Raw genomic sequence first — 14,276 nt, 5'->3', positions numbered from 1 at the left:
TCACAGAACCATGCACATCTCCCTTTAAGACACAGTGACACACTGCCTTTTGGAAAGCATGGTTCCTGGAGAATCCTGGAGAAGCTAGGGAGTGAGGCTGGGGTGGGGAAGGGGCATTCTAGTCCCATCCGTACATTCCAGTCATATTTCAGCCATTGTGTAACACGTTATAATTTGTAACTTTATTTGCATTATCCTTTTGTCACCCTTTGAGTTATATTATTATTGTCCTTATTTTACTGATGAAACTATGGGTCAGAGAGGATATACGACTTGTCCATAAATTATCCACTTTGTAAGTGGTCCTCCAAATGCAAAAGTCCTCTGTTATACCATGACTGCCCAATATTATAACAGAGATAGATTGCTTCTGTGAATCCAATTCTATTTTCCTTTCAATAAAGTAACAGTGCAGTAGTTCATTTATAATTACCAAGGAGGAGCTTGGCATCCTATGTAAGAGAGCAAGTGGAAGTTTTGTGATTTTAAAAATATTTCCGTTACATATTCCTTGAGGATATTTGGTAGAAGATATGAAAACTATGGAAAATTATTATATATGGTTTCTAAAGCCCGTTGATTACTATTTCTATAATTTGTGACCCCTCAAATTGATTAACCATTCAAAGACTGCATTGAGCTTCAGTCATCCTGAGTCAGGCTTCAGGAACCTGTGATAAAACATTTCAGCATTCATATGTGACAAAGCCAAGCAAATAAACAAATGTGCCATACCCACAGAGAATGCGGGAATCATTGATTTATCAGTATGGCTTGGACAACTTTGGCTGAAAATACTTTCAGAGATTGAATTAACCTCCAGAACACTTGCCTTGGGAGGATAGATAGATAGTACATTTCTGACATTCTTTATAGTCTGTTTTGAAATACCTCTTATTATTTAACTGCTACATGTCACCCCTTCAAATACATGTTCTATCACTGGAAATATGCGGTATAATAAATGAAAAATCTGAGTGGAACAATGTAAGAAATGAAAGACTATTTTAAAAACCGCATTCGGATTTTAATAATATAGGATTATTTTTCTTAAGTGCCTTTATTTTCCTAGGATAAGTGATTTTAGCATTGGAAGGACTAACTAATGGAGGTGTATTATGAAATTTTTATGGTTTATTTAAAAATTGCTTGTTTGTTTTTATCTTCTCTTCAGAAGTTGAGCTGCATCAGACCTGTGTTGCATTTTTTCTTCGTTGGTGTTATTAAACCAATCCCTCAAAGAGCTTCTTTTTTAAATTTGAGTTGTAACTTACTTTTAAATCTTATTGGAGTTAATTTTTGATAATTTTTATCCTAGTTGCTTGTTATATCATAAATTCTTTCTTATTTTGTTTTTCTGTTGACCAATTGCGAATATTATGTTTCAGTTTATTGAACCACAGACACCTGTCATTTAGTAGCAGTGTGAAATGGTTTTTCTTTCTTTCTTTTAAGACTACAAATATTTACTTAGTTTAATTGCCCTTATCTTGAATTTTAAAATGTTTCTGCTTTATTAAGATTCTTTAATTAAAAATAAAAGTTAGTAAAAAAAGATTTAAAAATTTCACTTGTCTATAAAAATATTATGTACAATATTAAGCTAATATTTTTTTGGGAGAGAAGTGGCTTTATGTTCTTTAGCTGAATAATTCTAATTTAATTGTAATGCCTTCAAGCAATTTTTATGAAACTCTCATGAGCTGAAATTTCAGCTTTGACAGTAACAGTGGCTTTTCAGTGCCAGCTTGCAGGTGTGCTTTGAGGTTTCCTGTGTTAGTCTAGATATAAGATTATGGAATTAAGAGTCTGTCATTTTATTCTGAGATCCTTTTACTTATTTTATTATTTTAATGACAATTAAAATTTTCCTTTTTAAATTAAATATATTAAAAATGAAGGATTCAGGTTTCTCGGTGCTTGGACAATCTTTGATCTGCCTTACCCACTTTCATTTCTGACTTTCTAGAATTCTAGTTGCTTAGGTTGGTGTTATAGAAGGTGGGCTTGAGTTACCCTGTAATTTCTGGTTGTAATGTGGTGCTGCTATTGGATCCTGTGTGTCATTACTGGATCTTGCTGAAAAACTATGCCTTTTAGGTTGTAAATTTTATTGATTGGTATTTTCAGGTGCAGATTTTCTGTGAGCCTATAATGAAGCTGAACCTTCAGGGGCCCTCATTTGAGTGGATGTCTTTCGAGGCTCTGTTTGTAATCTTGTTTTATAATTTTGTATTCTTTTTCTTAAGGAGGGCTTCACAAATTGTATAAGCTTCAGCCTCCACCACACTTTGGATCTGCCTCTAGTAAATATGTGAACTCTTTGAAAACTGAAAGAAAAGCAATAACAAAGACAGACTTTTGATCTTTCAAAATCTTAGTTAAGGTGTTTAGTAATGCCACATTTTCTTTCCTGGTGGAAGAAATGGTCTGGACAATCATACCGATCAGCAGAACTGTGTATCTAAAACCAGATGTACAACTGATGATTTGAAAGCATTGAGAATGGAGTTTTAGAGACATGTAGTTCTTGGGCAAGTTTTGTTATTTAGATGATCAGACTTTTGCCAAGGTTCTCTTAGAAAAATAGAGAATGTCAAACATTAGAAAGTTTTTGTGGAATATGGACATTCACTCCTTAATCTATGTTTTGTATGTTCCTCTAACCACTGTAATAATGTATGATTCCTTCAAGATGCCATCTTTACTTCCCTTCCATTAGCCACACTTGTACCTATCTTAAGAAAATTCCCTGAAATGATGAGAATGTCAATGCATTATATGTATCATATGCAATCCTCACTTTTTTAATGATAGTATGGGAACATAAGGTCCATGCAAGCTGAAACCACATAATACTATCTTAATACTCAATAAAAATTATGATGGTTTTAGCATCTTTAAAAATGTTTGTCAAAACAATAAAAACTCTCTTACTGTTGGTTATCAATGCAGGGAGATGATATCATAGTAAAACTCATATTTATTTAGTGTACTGTGATTTTGAACATTAGAAACGTTGAGAATGGAGGAAGTGTTTTATTTCTTCTTAAAAAACTTATGAGTCATTTAAACAATTCTTTGGCTTTTCAGAATGTAACTTTCTGTATAAAGAGAGCATCTTTTCTATCTTCTCGAAAATTGTCATCCTCCTTTCTAAGTTAGAATTAATTTCAAATATTTTATTCTTCCACTTTCACTATTGTGATCAATGTACTAGAGCTCCTTTAATAAGGAGGGTTTTTTTGGTTTGTTTTTAAACTGGTGTCACCTCCTCTGGGAAACCTTCATCCTTTTTGTCACAACCACTTTCTTCATTTATATGGATGAGCTCACCTTCACTAAGTCCTTTTGGATGCATATTTAGAGTCTCCCAAATGGCAGTAGTATTGACATTTCCATGGTCACCTATTTCTCTTATAACTTCATTTATGTTCAATTTGAATTCCACTTCCAACATTATTATTTTTCATTTCTTTGGTGGACTTTAGTTTTTGTTGGCTACTTACTGCTTTTGATTATCCATTTTTGTAAAATGTCATATGGGTTTATCACTGAGAGAAAAGGAGGCAATATGACTACATGCTTTTCTGTCTGTGCGTGAACTGAGTAACAGCCGTGCTGTTTCCAATACTGACAGGCTTTGAAAGAAGTGATGTGATCAGTGACTGGTTGTGAAGGTGCATCTGTTATTTTCCAGTGATTTGTAGACTGAAGATCAAGTGGCAAAGCTTGCACTTTGTGCAATTACTCACAGTTAACATACTGTGGAAACTGAAATTTGAACTGTGCTGTGGAACTGGTGTTATTTAACTAAACCACAGTGACTGAAATCTGTGCATACAGGAACTGTGTAAAGCAAGAACTGCCTCTCATGATTTGACTATTCTGTGTAGGAGCAATATTATATTTTCTAGCCACATTTGACTAGTCAAAGACAATTATATGATTTTTGTAGCATTTGAAAGGCAACACAAAAGTGAAATCGATTGTTTGTTTTTTTTCCCCCCCAGTTTTATGTATGGGGAATTGACTGACAAGAAGACCATTGAGAAAGTCAGGCAAACTTTTGACAACTACGAATCAAACTGCTTTGAAGTTCTTCTGTACAAGAAAAACAGTAGGTATCTCAATTATTAATAAGATGTGCCAACTCTTTATTAATATTATGTTTGGTAAGTCGTAGTGGAGCTAAAATGTAGAGAGCATGTAAACCTTCTGTTGCTTCTTTTCTTGGCAGGGGCAGAGGTTGCTGGTGAAATTAGATAATAAAATTAATAAATAATTCTACCTATGGAAAGTAACCTTTTGAGGAATGGAAGAAAAATGTGATGCATCTTAATATGACTTTTGTATCAGGCAGCAAAATATTTTGTAATTAATACTTATAATAAAGATCCTATAATTATGTGACAACGATTAAAATTGACAGATACATGTATTAATTTCTTCTTATGGTTAAAGAAAACGGTAATTGTTAACACTGGATATATGCAATTACCTTTCGACACGAACATAGGCAATGTGAATATGTGGTAGCTACTTGAGGGGAATCTCTACCAATATGGCCTTTTGCCAGCCTCAGACTCTTTTGTGAGAAAGCCTAGTAGAAGTAGTCGTTGTTCTCAGAACAAGTCATTCACGTTTGGTAAATTTGTGTTGATTGTTGTGACCTTTCTCTGGGATGAGATTTGTATGTGGTAAGGTATGCATTATATAATGACATAATATCTGGTGATATAGACTTTCCATCAGAGTTTGGAGGGAAAAAAACCAACATGACAAAAACCAACAGTATACTCAACAACTCCCCTTTCTAATTCACTTTATTTGCATGGTTACTTACATTTATCTTTTTGCTGTTTCCTCAAATTGTTCTTGCTTTCTTTTTTGAAATGAACAGTCACTTCATAAGATGAGTCAATTTATTTATTGTTAATAGCAAATGATAGCAAAGTCTACTATTATCTTTGATGGAAATTGATGGTTACTAAATTCTTCCCAAGTTTGGAAAACATTCTCGCTTCAACAGGAAACGCCTGTTCCATGTTCAGTGCCTGTTGGATCTTGTGGAGCATAATTTATCCTCTCCATTTACTTGAAACATTTTTTATCTGTGGAATATTTGGAATTAAAATTCGATTTCTCTTTTTATTAGTAGACTAACAAAGGAATAACAGCGTGAGACATTGCCTCAAAGTAGTGCACTTGATAATGGAAACATTTGTTTTTAGTAATTTTACTTAAGGAATGGCTTATCTTATTTTTCATTTTACATCAAGCCCAAAGAGAATTTCAGTTTGAAGTCATAGCTAAATGTCAGCTAGCTTGTCACCTAGAAAACAATCCCTTCTGAATGGTCAGCTCTGTCCTCTGCAAGAGAAAAGGCAGACTGTAGGTGCTTTCTGGGTCTTTTTTTGCCAAGTCTAAGTACATATTGATAATTTGTAGGAGACCTGTATACCAAAAAATCCTTCATTTTCCTATGGTTTGTTAAGCCTTCAATAATTTAGATATGTGCTCCAAGTTTAGCAAATAATTTAAGAATATTCTATATAACTAAGGTCATTCACTCTCTGACATTTAAGCAAAATAAACAAACATTTGCCTGACTTTAAAGCCCCAAAGACAAGTCCATAGTTCCTGAGTTTCTCAAAAAATATGTAGGTGAAGCCTAGGTGACATAGCAAGACCCTGCCTCTATGAAAAAAAAAATAGCTGGGCATGGAGGCACATGCCTATAGTCCCAGCTACTCAGGAGGCTGAGGCAGGTGGATGGCTTGAGCCCAGGAGTTCGAGGCTGCAGTGAGCTATGATCATGCTACTGTATTCCAGCCTGGGTGACAGAGCAAGACCCTGTAATGACAACCACCACAACAAAATATCTTAGTGGAATTTCTGTTTATTTACTTTAAATCATCTTAGTAATTACTTGAATTTTACATTTCCAGAAGTCTTTCCAAGGTAGTTTAGTTATTTTGCCTTATGTTAATGGATTGAAATTATTATCTGATCATTGTTCAGGCCTATCTGGTTCTTTCCAGATAACTCTCTATGCAGATAAGTGCCTGCTTATAGCCAATGGGATATATACCCCATAGCATTGTAAGTTAAAACTTGTGCCTCCTTTCTGTGCACTATCTACATTGAGTTTTGCTTTTGTTTTCCTCTTTAGTGAAGGATAGGTGTTATCCATGTATTATAATGGAGTTTTGCTATTTAAATGCAGCTTTTAAAAAGTCTTGTAAATAGCTGAAAGGTTTTGAACATCAGCTGAGAAAAGCATATTTTTGTGATTTAAAAAAAGTGTTAGGTAGAAAAATTCACATCTGCAGAAAACTGTTTTGGGAATGCCTATGTGCCAAGTTCTCCCAATACGTCCTTTAAGCAATTAAGTTAAACACCATTTTGCAAATGGGGGAATTGCGGCATCTGATTGAATATGCATCACCATTGAAATTTTAGTTTGCAGCCTCTGTTCTGTAGGTCCAGTGCTCTGATTAGCAGGGGGCTGTTTCTACTGTGGGGAAAGAAATGGTAGCTCTGAGCTTAAGATAGCTCTTTCTGGCCGGGCGCGGTGGCTGACACCTGTAATCTCAGCACTTTGGAAGGCCGAGGCGGGCGGATCACGAGGTCAGGAAATCGAGACCATCCTGGTTAACACGGTGAAACCCCGTCTCTACTAAAAATACAAAAAATTAGCCGGGCGTGGTGGCAGGCGCCTTGTAGTCCCAGCTACTCAGGAGTCTGAGGCAGGAGAATGGCATGAACCCAGGAGGTGGAGCTCGCAGTGAGCCGAGATAGTGCCACTGCAGTTGGGCCTGGACGAAAGAGTGAGACTCCGTCTCAAAAAAAAAAAAATATATATATATATATAAATATAAATATATAAATATATATATTATGTATATAAATATAAATATATATAATATATACTATATATAATATATAATATATATAAAATATATAAAATATATATAAAATATATATATAATATATATAAAATATATATAATATATATAAAATATATATATAATATATATATATGGCTCTTTCTGTGTACTCAAATGCAGAACTGATAGCCGAGGCTCCTCCAAGTCATCAATGCTGGAGCACTGCACCGAGATTCAGCCACAGCAGGTTCCTCTACTTAACCCTCCCAGACTCCCCAGCCCCCTGAACCCCAAATCCAGAATATGAAGGATCTATCACCACATACTTGGCAGATACTCAGCCTACTTGGGGAAATATGACCCTGTGGCTTGGAAAGTTGAAAAACAATTACCTTCATATCTAAAGCAGTTTTAAAGAGAGCCCAGACTCTGTGCCAGAATTTGAAAAGTTGCGGTTTTCACAGCAAGGCATGAAATCTAACATCATCTCTTTCTGTTCAGATTTCTAACAGACCTTGGAAAATTACTTATTTTTTTAGTGCCCTTTTCTCTTTGTTTATGACCCTTCTGCCTCAAGCTTACTGTGTTGGAATAGCTACAGGCCATGTATCCACTAACGTCTGGGTCTGGTGATTTGTAAAACCGTGCACATCACTCACAGTTCCTGGTCACGCTGTGTAAAATACGAAAACAGAAAAAAATGAACAAGCCTCTCGGGGAGATGATGTGATTATTTTTGAGGTCCCTGTCTCATTCTACCATCATTTTGGAAAGGGCCACGTCCTTCCATAGGCCCCCTGGGGTTGCAGAAAACCTGATTGTCACAGCTGAATAGTCCCATAGAAATCTCCTTTCTCTAATTCTCTGACTTCTTGAGCCTGGTAGTTATCTCATCCTGTCTAAATGAAAAATTCCCCTTTGTGGTGACATTAGGTGACTTTTTTATTTTTTATTTTTTTAGGCCATGGGAATAGAAGTGCTTCTTATTCGGTTCTTAATGGAAGCTAGTAAAAGGCTAGGGTCTTACCTACAGACTATTAATACCTGCACGTTTCACTCCCCAAATCCTAAACCTTACAAAAACCTTTATGTCTTAAAATAGAATATTTGGAGGGGCTTTACTGCACTGTGGCATGAAGAGAATATAATGAGAAAAGTGTCTCTTTGATTGTAATGTAAATGTGTCTCTTTGATTGTAATGGAATCTTCCCTTCAGTGTTTTATCACCTAACAGATAATTACACCTTTGAAGGCATTTCTTGTGCCTTCACATATTTCTATTTGTTATATACCAGTTCCTGACTTATCCAAATGATAAGCCTTGAATACTTTGATACCCTCTGTCCTAGAGGGCAGAGTCTGCAGTAGCCATCCTTCGAAGAACGAGGTGATAGAGTCCAGCTTCATGCTGTTTAAGTGAGGGAGGTAGGCAGCAGTGGCTCAAAAAGATGCCTGGGGATCTCAAAAGCTGGGGACACGTCTATTTTTCTTCAGGCTGCCTTAACAGTTTCAGGTAGAGCTCTGTGTACATCGGACATCAAGTTTTGCTGACATCCTCTCTCTCTGATGTGGGGATGCTGTCAAAGCCATAGAGCTATCATATAAGTCTATCTGACTGATGAGAGAGCCTTGGGATAGAAACAGTATTTTAGATGTTCCTCCAAGAGGAATGCTTATTAGAAGATCAGGTATGGCTGTTGCAGTTAATTGGAAACACTTGTCAAAGTGACATGACGAGAGAAGCAGGTAGGAGTGATCACAATTGGTAAGACTCTCAGAAGAAAGTTGGTGAGAGCAGCAGTGGTTGAGGGACCCAGACCTACAGGTGTTGCTGGGATTGCTTAAGTAGCAAGACTGCCTTTGTGTTCCTGCATTGTGAAATGACAGCCTGTGCTTTACTTTAGAATTTTGATATTTTGGCGTGTATACTGTGTTTATTAAATTTGAACAACTGGTAGTTGATACAAAATTAAAGGTTTACGGATTGTTTGTAGTAATTAATATACTGTTGTTTTGGTGTTGATTCCTGGCACAGCTGTTGGCAGCTGAAGGAAGAAGGAAGCCAGGAGACCAAACCACTGCTGTGGCCGTGCCACACTCTAATGTCCTTTCCCCAACTTCTTTCTGTTACAGGAACCCCTGTTTGGTTTTATATGCAAATTGCACCAATAAGAAATGAACATGAAAAGGTGGTCTTGTTCCTGTGTACTTTCAAGGATATTACGTTGTTCAAACAGCCAATAGAGGATGATTCAACAAAAGGTAATTTTCAAAAGAATTACTACACTGAAAAATTAGGCTGTTGCTAAAAGATCTTCTTACTGTTTTACCTCTGCTGATTGAACTGGAAAACAAAATTCTACTATGTGGCCTTTCTTTTGCTTCATTGCTTGGAATCTGTTTTATTCAATCATACTGTTGGAATAGAAATGGCATGTCTATCCAAAGTTGAAATATAGATTGGTTAACTTATAGCATGAGTAAGAAATTTTATAGAGCATTTTTTTTGTTTGTCTTTTAGTCAAGGTCTCACTCTGTTGCTTGGGCTGGAGTGTAGTGGTGTCATTTCAGCTCACTGAAATTTCCATCTCCCAGTCTCAAGTGGTCCCCCCACCTCAGCCTCCTGAGTAGCTGGGACTATAGGTGTGCGCCACCATACCTGGCTAATTTTTCTATTTTTTATAGAGTCAGGGTTTCGCCATGTTGCCCAGGCTGGTTTCAAACACTTGGGCTCAAGTTATCTGACCCCCCTTGGCCTCCCAAAGTGCTGGGATTACAGACGTGGGCCATACACCTGGCTGAGCATTGTTAATTTTGAATCAATATGATTGGAATTTCAACACCTCATACCATGGTGAGCTTTAGAGCCAAAACGTAACAATTGGTGGAATGGTTTGGGTGAAATCTAACTAGAGCTCAGTTGGTTAGTTGATTGAATTTTGTTGAATTACAATTGTAATAGTTGACTTTTTCAAGTTACTTTTCAGTTTTTATTTATTCTGTTGTGTAGTCCCTAGAGTAGATGTTGCTAGATTATGGAAAGAATAATTTTGTCTTCAGGAGAGTGACTGGCAAAATGCAAACCTTCTGACTGTAGTCTTATTGACTATAATAGTCAAAGAGACTGCTATAGAAACCACTAGTCAGTGGCATGTGCTTTTACCTCCTTTTCTATGTAATTTATTCCCAATTTATTCTCTCCAATTATGTTTAAATTAGAAACTGGTGTCATATAAATGAAGTATTTCAAATAACCTTAGAAGTAGTTTTTATGAAATGTTATTTTTAATAATCTCTTAGGAAACTAAAAATAAAATGTCTTCCTCTTTGCATTTGACAAACATCGCCTTTCCTTACTTCTTTTTAAAAAACTGGCATAGAAACTTTAATCTTTCCAACTGTAATCATAATTATAGAAAAAATCACAGTAAGTTTATTCCTTGCATAGGAACTCACATATATAATATTGTATCTGCTCAGTTTCTGGTTAACATCAAATAGCGAGAGGATAATTTTTACAGTGTGCAAACCATTCAAAGTATGACAGCAATTTATTTGTGCTTTGAAGATCGAATAAAGTATTCAATTTGGACCCATATTCCCTGTTCCTTTACACATAGACTCAGTGCCTGGGAAATTTAAGATAACTATAAATACTACTTTTAAATTGAACAGTCTTCTAATAATATTTAGGGTTTTTTTTTTCTTTTCCCTTTTTTTTTTATTATTATTATACTTTAAGTTTTAGGGTACATGTGCACAATGTGCAGGTTAGTTACATATGTATACATGTGCCATTCTGGTGTGCTGCACCCATTAACTCGTCATTTAGCATTAGGTATATCTCCTAATGCTATCCCTCCCCCCTCCCCCCACCCCACAACAGTCCCCAGAGTGTGATGTTCCCCTTCCTGTGTCCATGTGTTCTCATTGTTCAATTCCCATCTATGAGTGAGAACATGCGGTGTTTGGTTTTTTGTCCTTGCGATAGTTTACTGAGAATGATGATTTCCAATTTCACCTATGTCCCTACAAAGGACATAAACTCATCATTTTTTATGGCTGCATAGTATTCCATGGTGTGTATGTGCCACATTCTCTTAATCCAGTCTATCATTGTTGGGCATTTGGGTTGGTTCCAAGTCTTTGCTATTGTGAATAGTCCAGAATCTACAATGAACTCAAACAAATTTACAAGAAAAAAACAAACAACCCCATCAAAAAGTGGGCGAAGGATATGAACAGACACTTCTCAAAAGAAGACATTTATGCAGCCAAAAGACACATGAAAACATGCTCATCATCATTGGCCATCAGAGAAATGCAAATCAAAACCACAATGAGATACCATCTCGCACCAGTTAGAATGGCAATCATTAAAAAGTCAGGAAACAACAGGTGCTGGAGAGGATGTGGAGAAATAGGAACACTTTTACACTGTTGGTGGGACTGTAAACTAGTTCAACCATTGTGGAAGTCAGTGTGGCGATTCCTCCGGGATCTAGAACTAGAAATACCATTTGACCCAGCCATCCCATTACAGGGTATATACCCAAAGGACTATAAATCATGCTGCTGTAAAGACACATGCACACGTATGTTTATTGCAGCAATATTTAGGTTTAATGCTCATTTGCTTGTTTTAAAATTCATGGTGCTCCATCCAACAGCCAGAGAATACATATTCTTCACCTCACAAGGAGTGGAGCATTCACCAGAGAGATAACATTCTGGGCCATAAAACTACCTTAATAAATTTAAAAAAATATAAATCTTAAAAAGTATGTTATCAGACCAAAGTGGAATTAAACTAGAAATGAGTAATAGAAAGATATCTGGAAGATCCTGAAATATTTGGAAATGAAACATGTTTCTAAACAAATCAAAGAAGCAGCCTTAAGATAAGTTAGAAAAATATTTTTAACTAAAGAAAAATGAAAATACAATTTATCAAATTTGTGAGATGCAGCAAAAGCAGTGCTTAGAGGGAAATATGTAACATTAAATGCATATATTAGAAAAGAAGAAAGACATAAAATCAATAATCTAAGATTCTACCTTAGAAAACTAGATAAAGAAAAACAATTTAAACCAAAGCAAACTGAAGACAAGGAATAATAAACCTTACAACAGAAATCAATGAACTGGGCAACAGGACAACATTAGAGAAAATCACAAAAACCCAAAGCTGGTTCTTTGAACAGGTCATTAAAGTTAGTAAACCTCTAGCCAGGCTAACTGAGAAAAAAGGGTAAAGACACAAATTACCAATATCAGAAATTAAAGACATGGACATTCAAGCAGAGTAAAGGGCTACTGCGAACAACTCTATAGCTGCCATTGATAAATTGGATGAAACAGACCAGTTCCTTGAAACACACAAACTACCAAAACTTACAGAAGGAAAAATGAACTTCATTTGTGCTTTATTTATTTAAAAAATTAACAATAATTAATAATCTTCCAAAACCAAGAAAAGACCAGATGCAGATGGTTTCATTGGTAAGCGCTACCATACGTTTAGGGAAGAAATAATACCAGTTCAAGTCTTTTCCAGATAATAGAAGCAGAGAGAGCTCTCTTAACCTATTCTGAGGCAAGCACTACCCATATAGCAAAACCAGAAAAAGACATTACAAGAAAGGAAAACTACAGACATATTTTTTTTTTAATTTTTTTTTTTTTTTTTTTTTGAGATGGAGTCTGGCTCTGTCCCCCAGGTTGGAGTGCAGTGGTGCCATCTCGGTTCACTGCAAGCTCCGTCTCCCAGGTTCATGCCATTCTCCTGCCTCAGCCTTCCAAGTAGCTGGGACTACAGGCGCCCACCACCATGCCCGGTTAATTTTTTTTTGTATTTTTAGTAGAGACGGGGTTTCACTGTGTTAGCCAGGATGGTCTCGATCTCCTGACCTCGTGATCTGCCTGCCTCGGCCTTCCAAACCAATATTTTTCATGAATATAGATTCAAAATCCTCTACAAAAATTGGATCCAACAATATCTAAAAAGAATTATGACAACCAAGTGGGGTTTATCCCACTTATGCAAGGCTGGTTTAACATGCAAAAACCAGTTGCTGTAATCTACCATATAAAAATGTAATTCACAAAATAATGAGAAAAGTCATGATTATGCCAGTCAGCAGAGAGAAAGCACTTGCTGAAATCCAGCACTTGTTCATGATAAAAACTCTCAGTAAAGTTTGAATAGAGGGGAGCTTCTCTAGTTTGATAAGGAACATCTATATAAAGCCTATAATATTCTAACTATTTTTTTCTTATACCCATTAACCATCTCCCCATCTTACTCCCCAACTACCCTTCCCAGCCTCTTGTAACCATCCTTCTACTCTCTATGTCCCTGTTGTCAATTGTTTTCATTTTTACATAACTAAAAGAGTTTAATTGGATTGTTTTTAACGCAAAGGATAAATGCTTGAGAGGATGGATATCTCATTCTCCATGATGTGACTATTAACGCATTGCGTGCCTGTATCAAAACATCTCATATACCTATAAATATATACAGCTACTATGTACCCACAAAAATTAAAAATGAAAAAATTCTACAGCTAACAATGGTCTATATCTTAAAGTTATATATTTTTAAACAAAAGAGAAATAATTGGCATCTGATTTGTGACCTAACATTTTCATACACGAATGATAATCAGACTGAGTAAAAAGCTTTGATCATAGTCTTTTCCTCTCAAAAAAGTATGTATTTGTATTTGCACTACATGATTATTGTTTTCTCTTACTTACTTTAAGTGATTTCATGGCACAGATGAAGTTGGCCAAAGAAAGTACAGTACTTTCGCAGCAGTTTTGACCGGCTGAACCTAAGTGGTGGTGTCAGTAACTACATATCTATTTATGGAAACTCAAAGTCGGCAACATTTTGCAGTGAAGTTGGGGAAAGGGTGCTGATGTTGAAGTGTTGACTTTTCTTTCTGAAATTAATGCTTCTCCATTTATCTGCATCTCCACATCAGAATCACAGAATTCTTTGTAAGGCTCAGTCTCTTTGAAATGAATAATTCATTTTTATACAAAATGATATTTGAAAAAGCTCGAGACAACTCAGACCACTTGATTTTTTAACTATGAGTTTGATAGACATGTAAATTAGAATTTATAGGGAAAATCAGACCCCATTGTGAAAAGCATTAGAGAAAAAGGTCTCTTTCCAGTGCCAGAATCTGTAGATGAGCTTATTTTAAATAGACTTTTGAGACTTCTCTGTATCTTCCAAACACATAGCAGATTATTGAAAAAGTATTGTAAAATGTAACTATGAATGGTGTGTAGGAGCTACTTTCTATTATTCATGTGAACTGTACATTTAACATGAAAAATTCAATAGAAATAAAATATTTATGCCAT

General features: G+C 35.8%; 1 protein-coding gene across 3 annotated transcripts in view; it reads left to right on the top strand.

Annotated features, from left to right (window-relative positions):
- The window catches only part of KCNH5 (potassium voltage-gated channel subfamily H member 5), a 345,995-nt gene that overhangs the window by 34,973 nt on the left and 296,746 nt on the right, over positions 1-14,276 (top strand). For all 3 annotated transcript variants that reach the window (NM_172375.3, NM_139318.5, XM_047431275.1), the window contains exons 3-4: positions 4,014-4,120; positions 9,027-9,155. In NM_172375.3, coding sequence (NP_758963.1) covers positions 4,014-4,120; positions 9,027-9,155 — 236 coding nt within the window. The remainder of the gene's footprint in view (positions 1-4,013; positions 4,121-9,026; positions 9,156-14,276) is intronic.

This window comes from Homo sapiens, chromosome 14 (genome assembly GCF_000001405.40).
Source record: "Homo sapiens chromosome 14, GRCh38.p14 Primary Assembly".
Lineage (NCBI taxonomy): Eukaryota > Metazoa > Chordata > Mammalia > Primates > Hominidae > Homo > Homo sapiens.
This window is presented reverse-complemented; position numbering and strand designations above follow the sequence as displayed.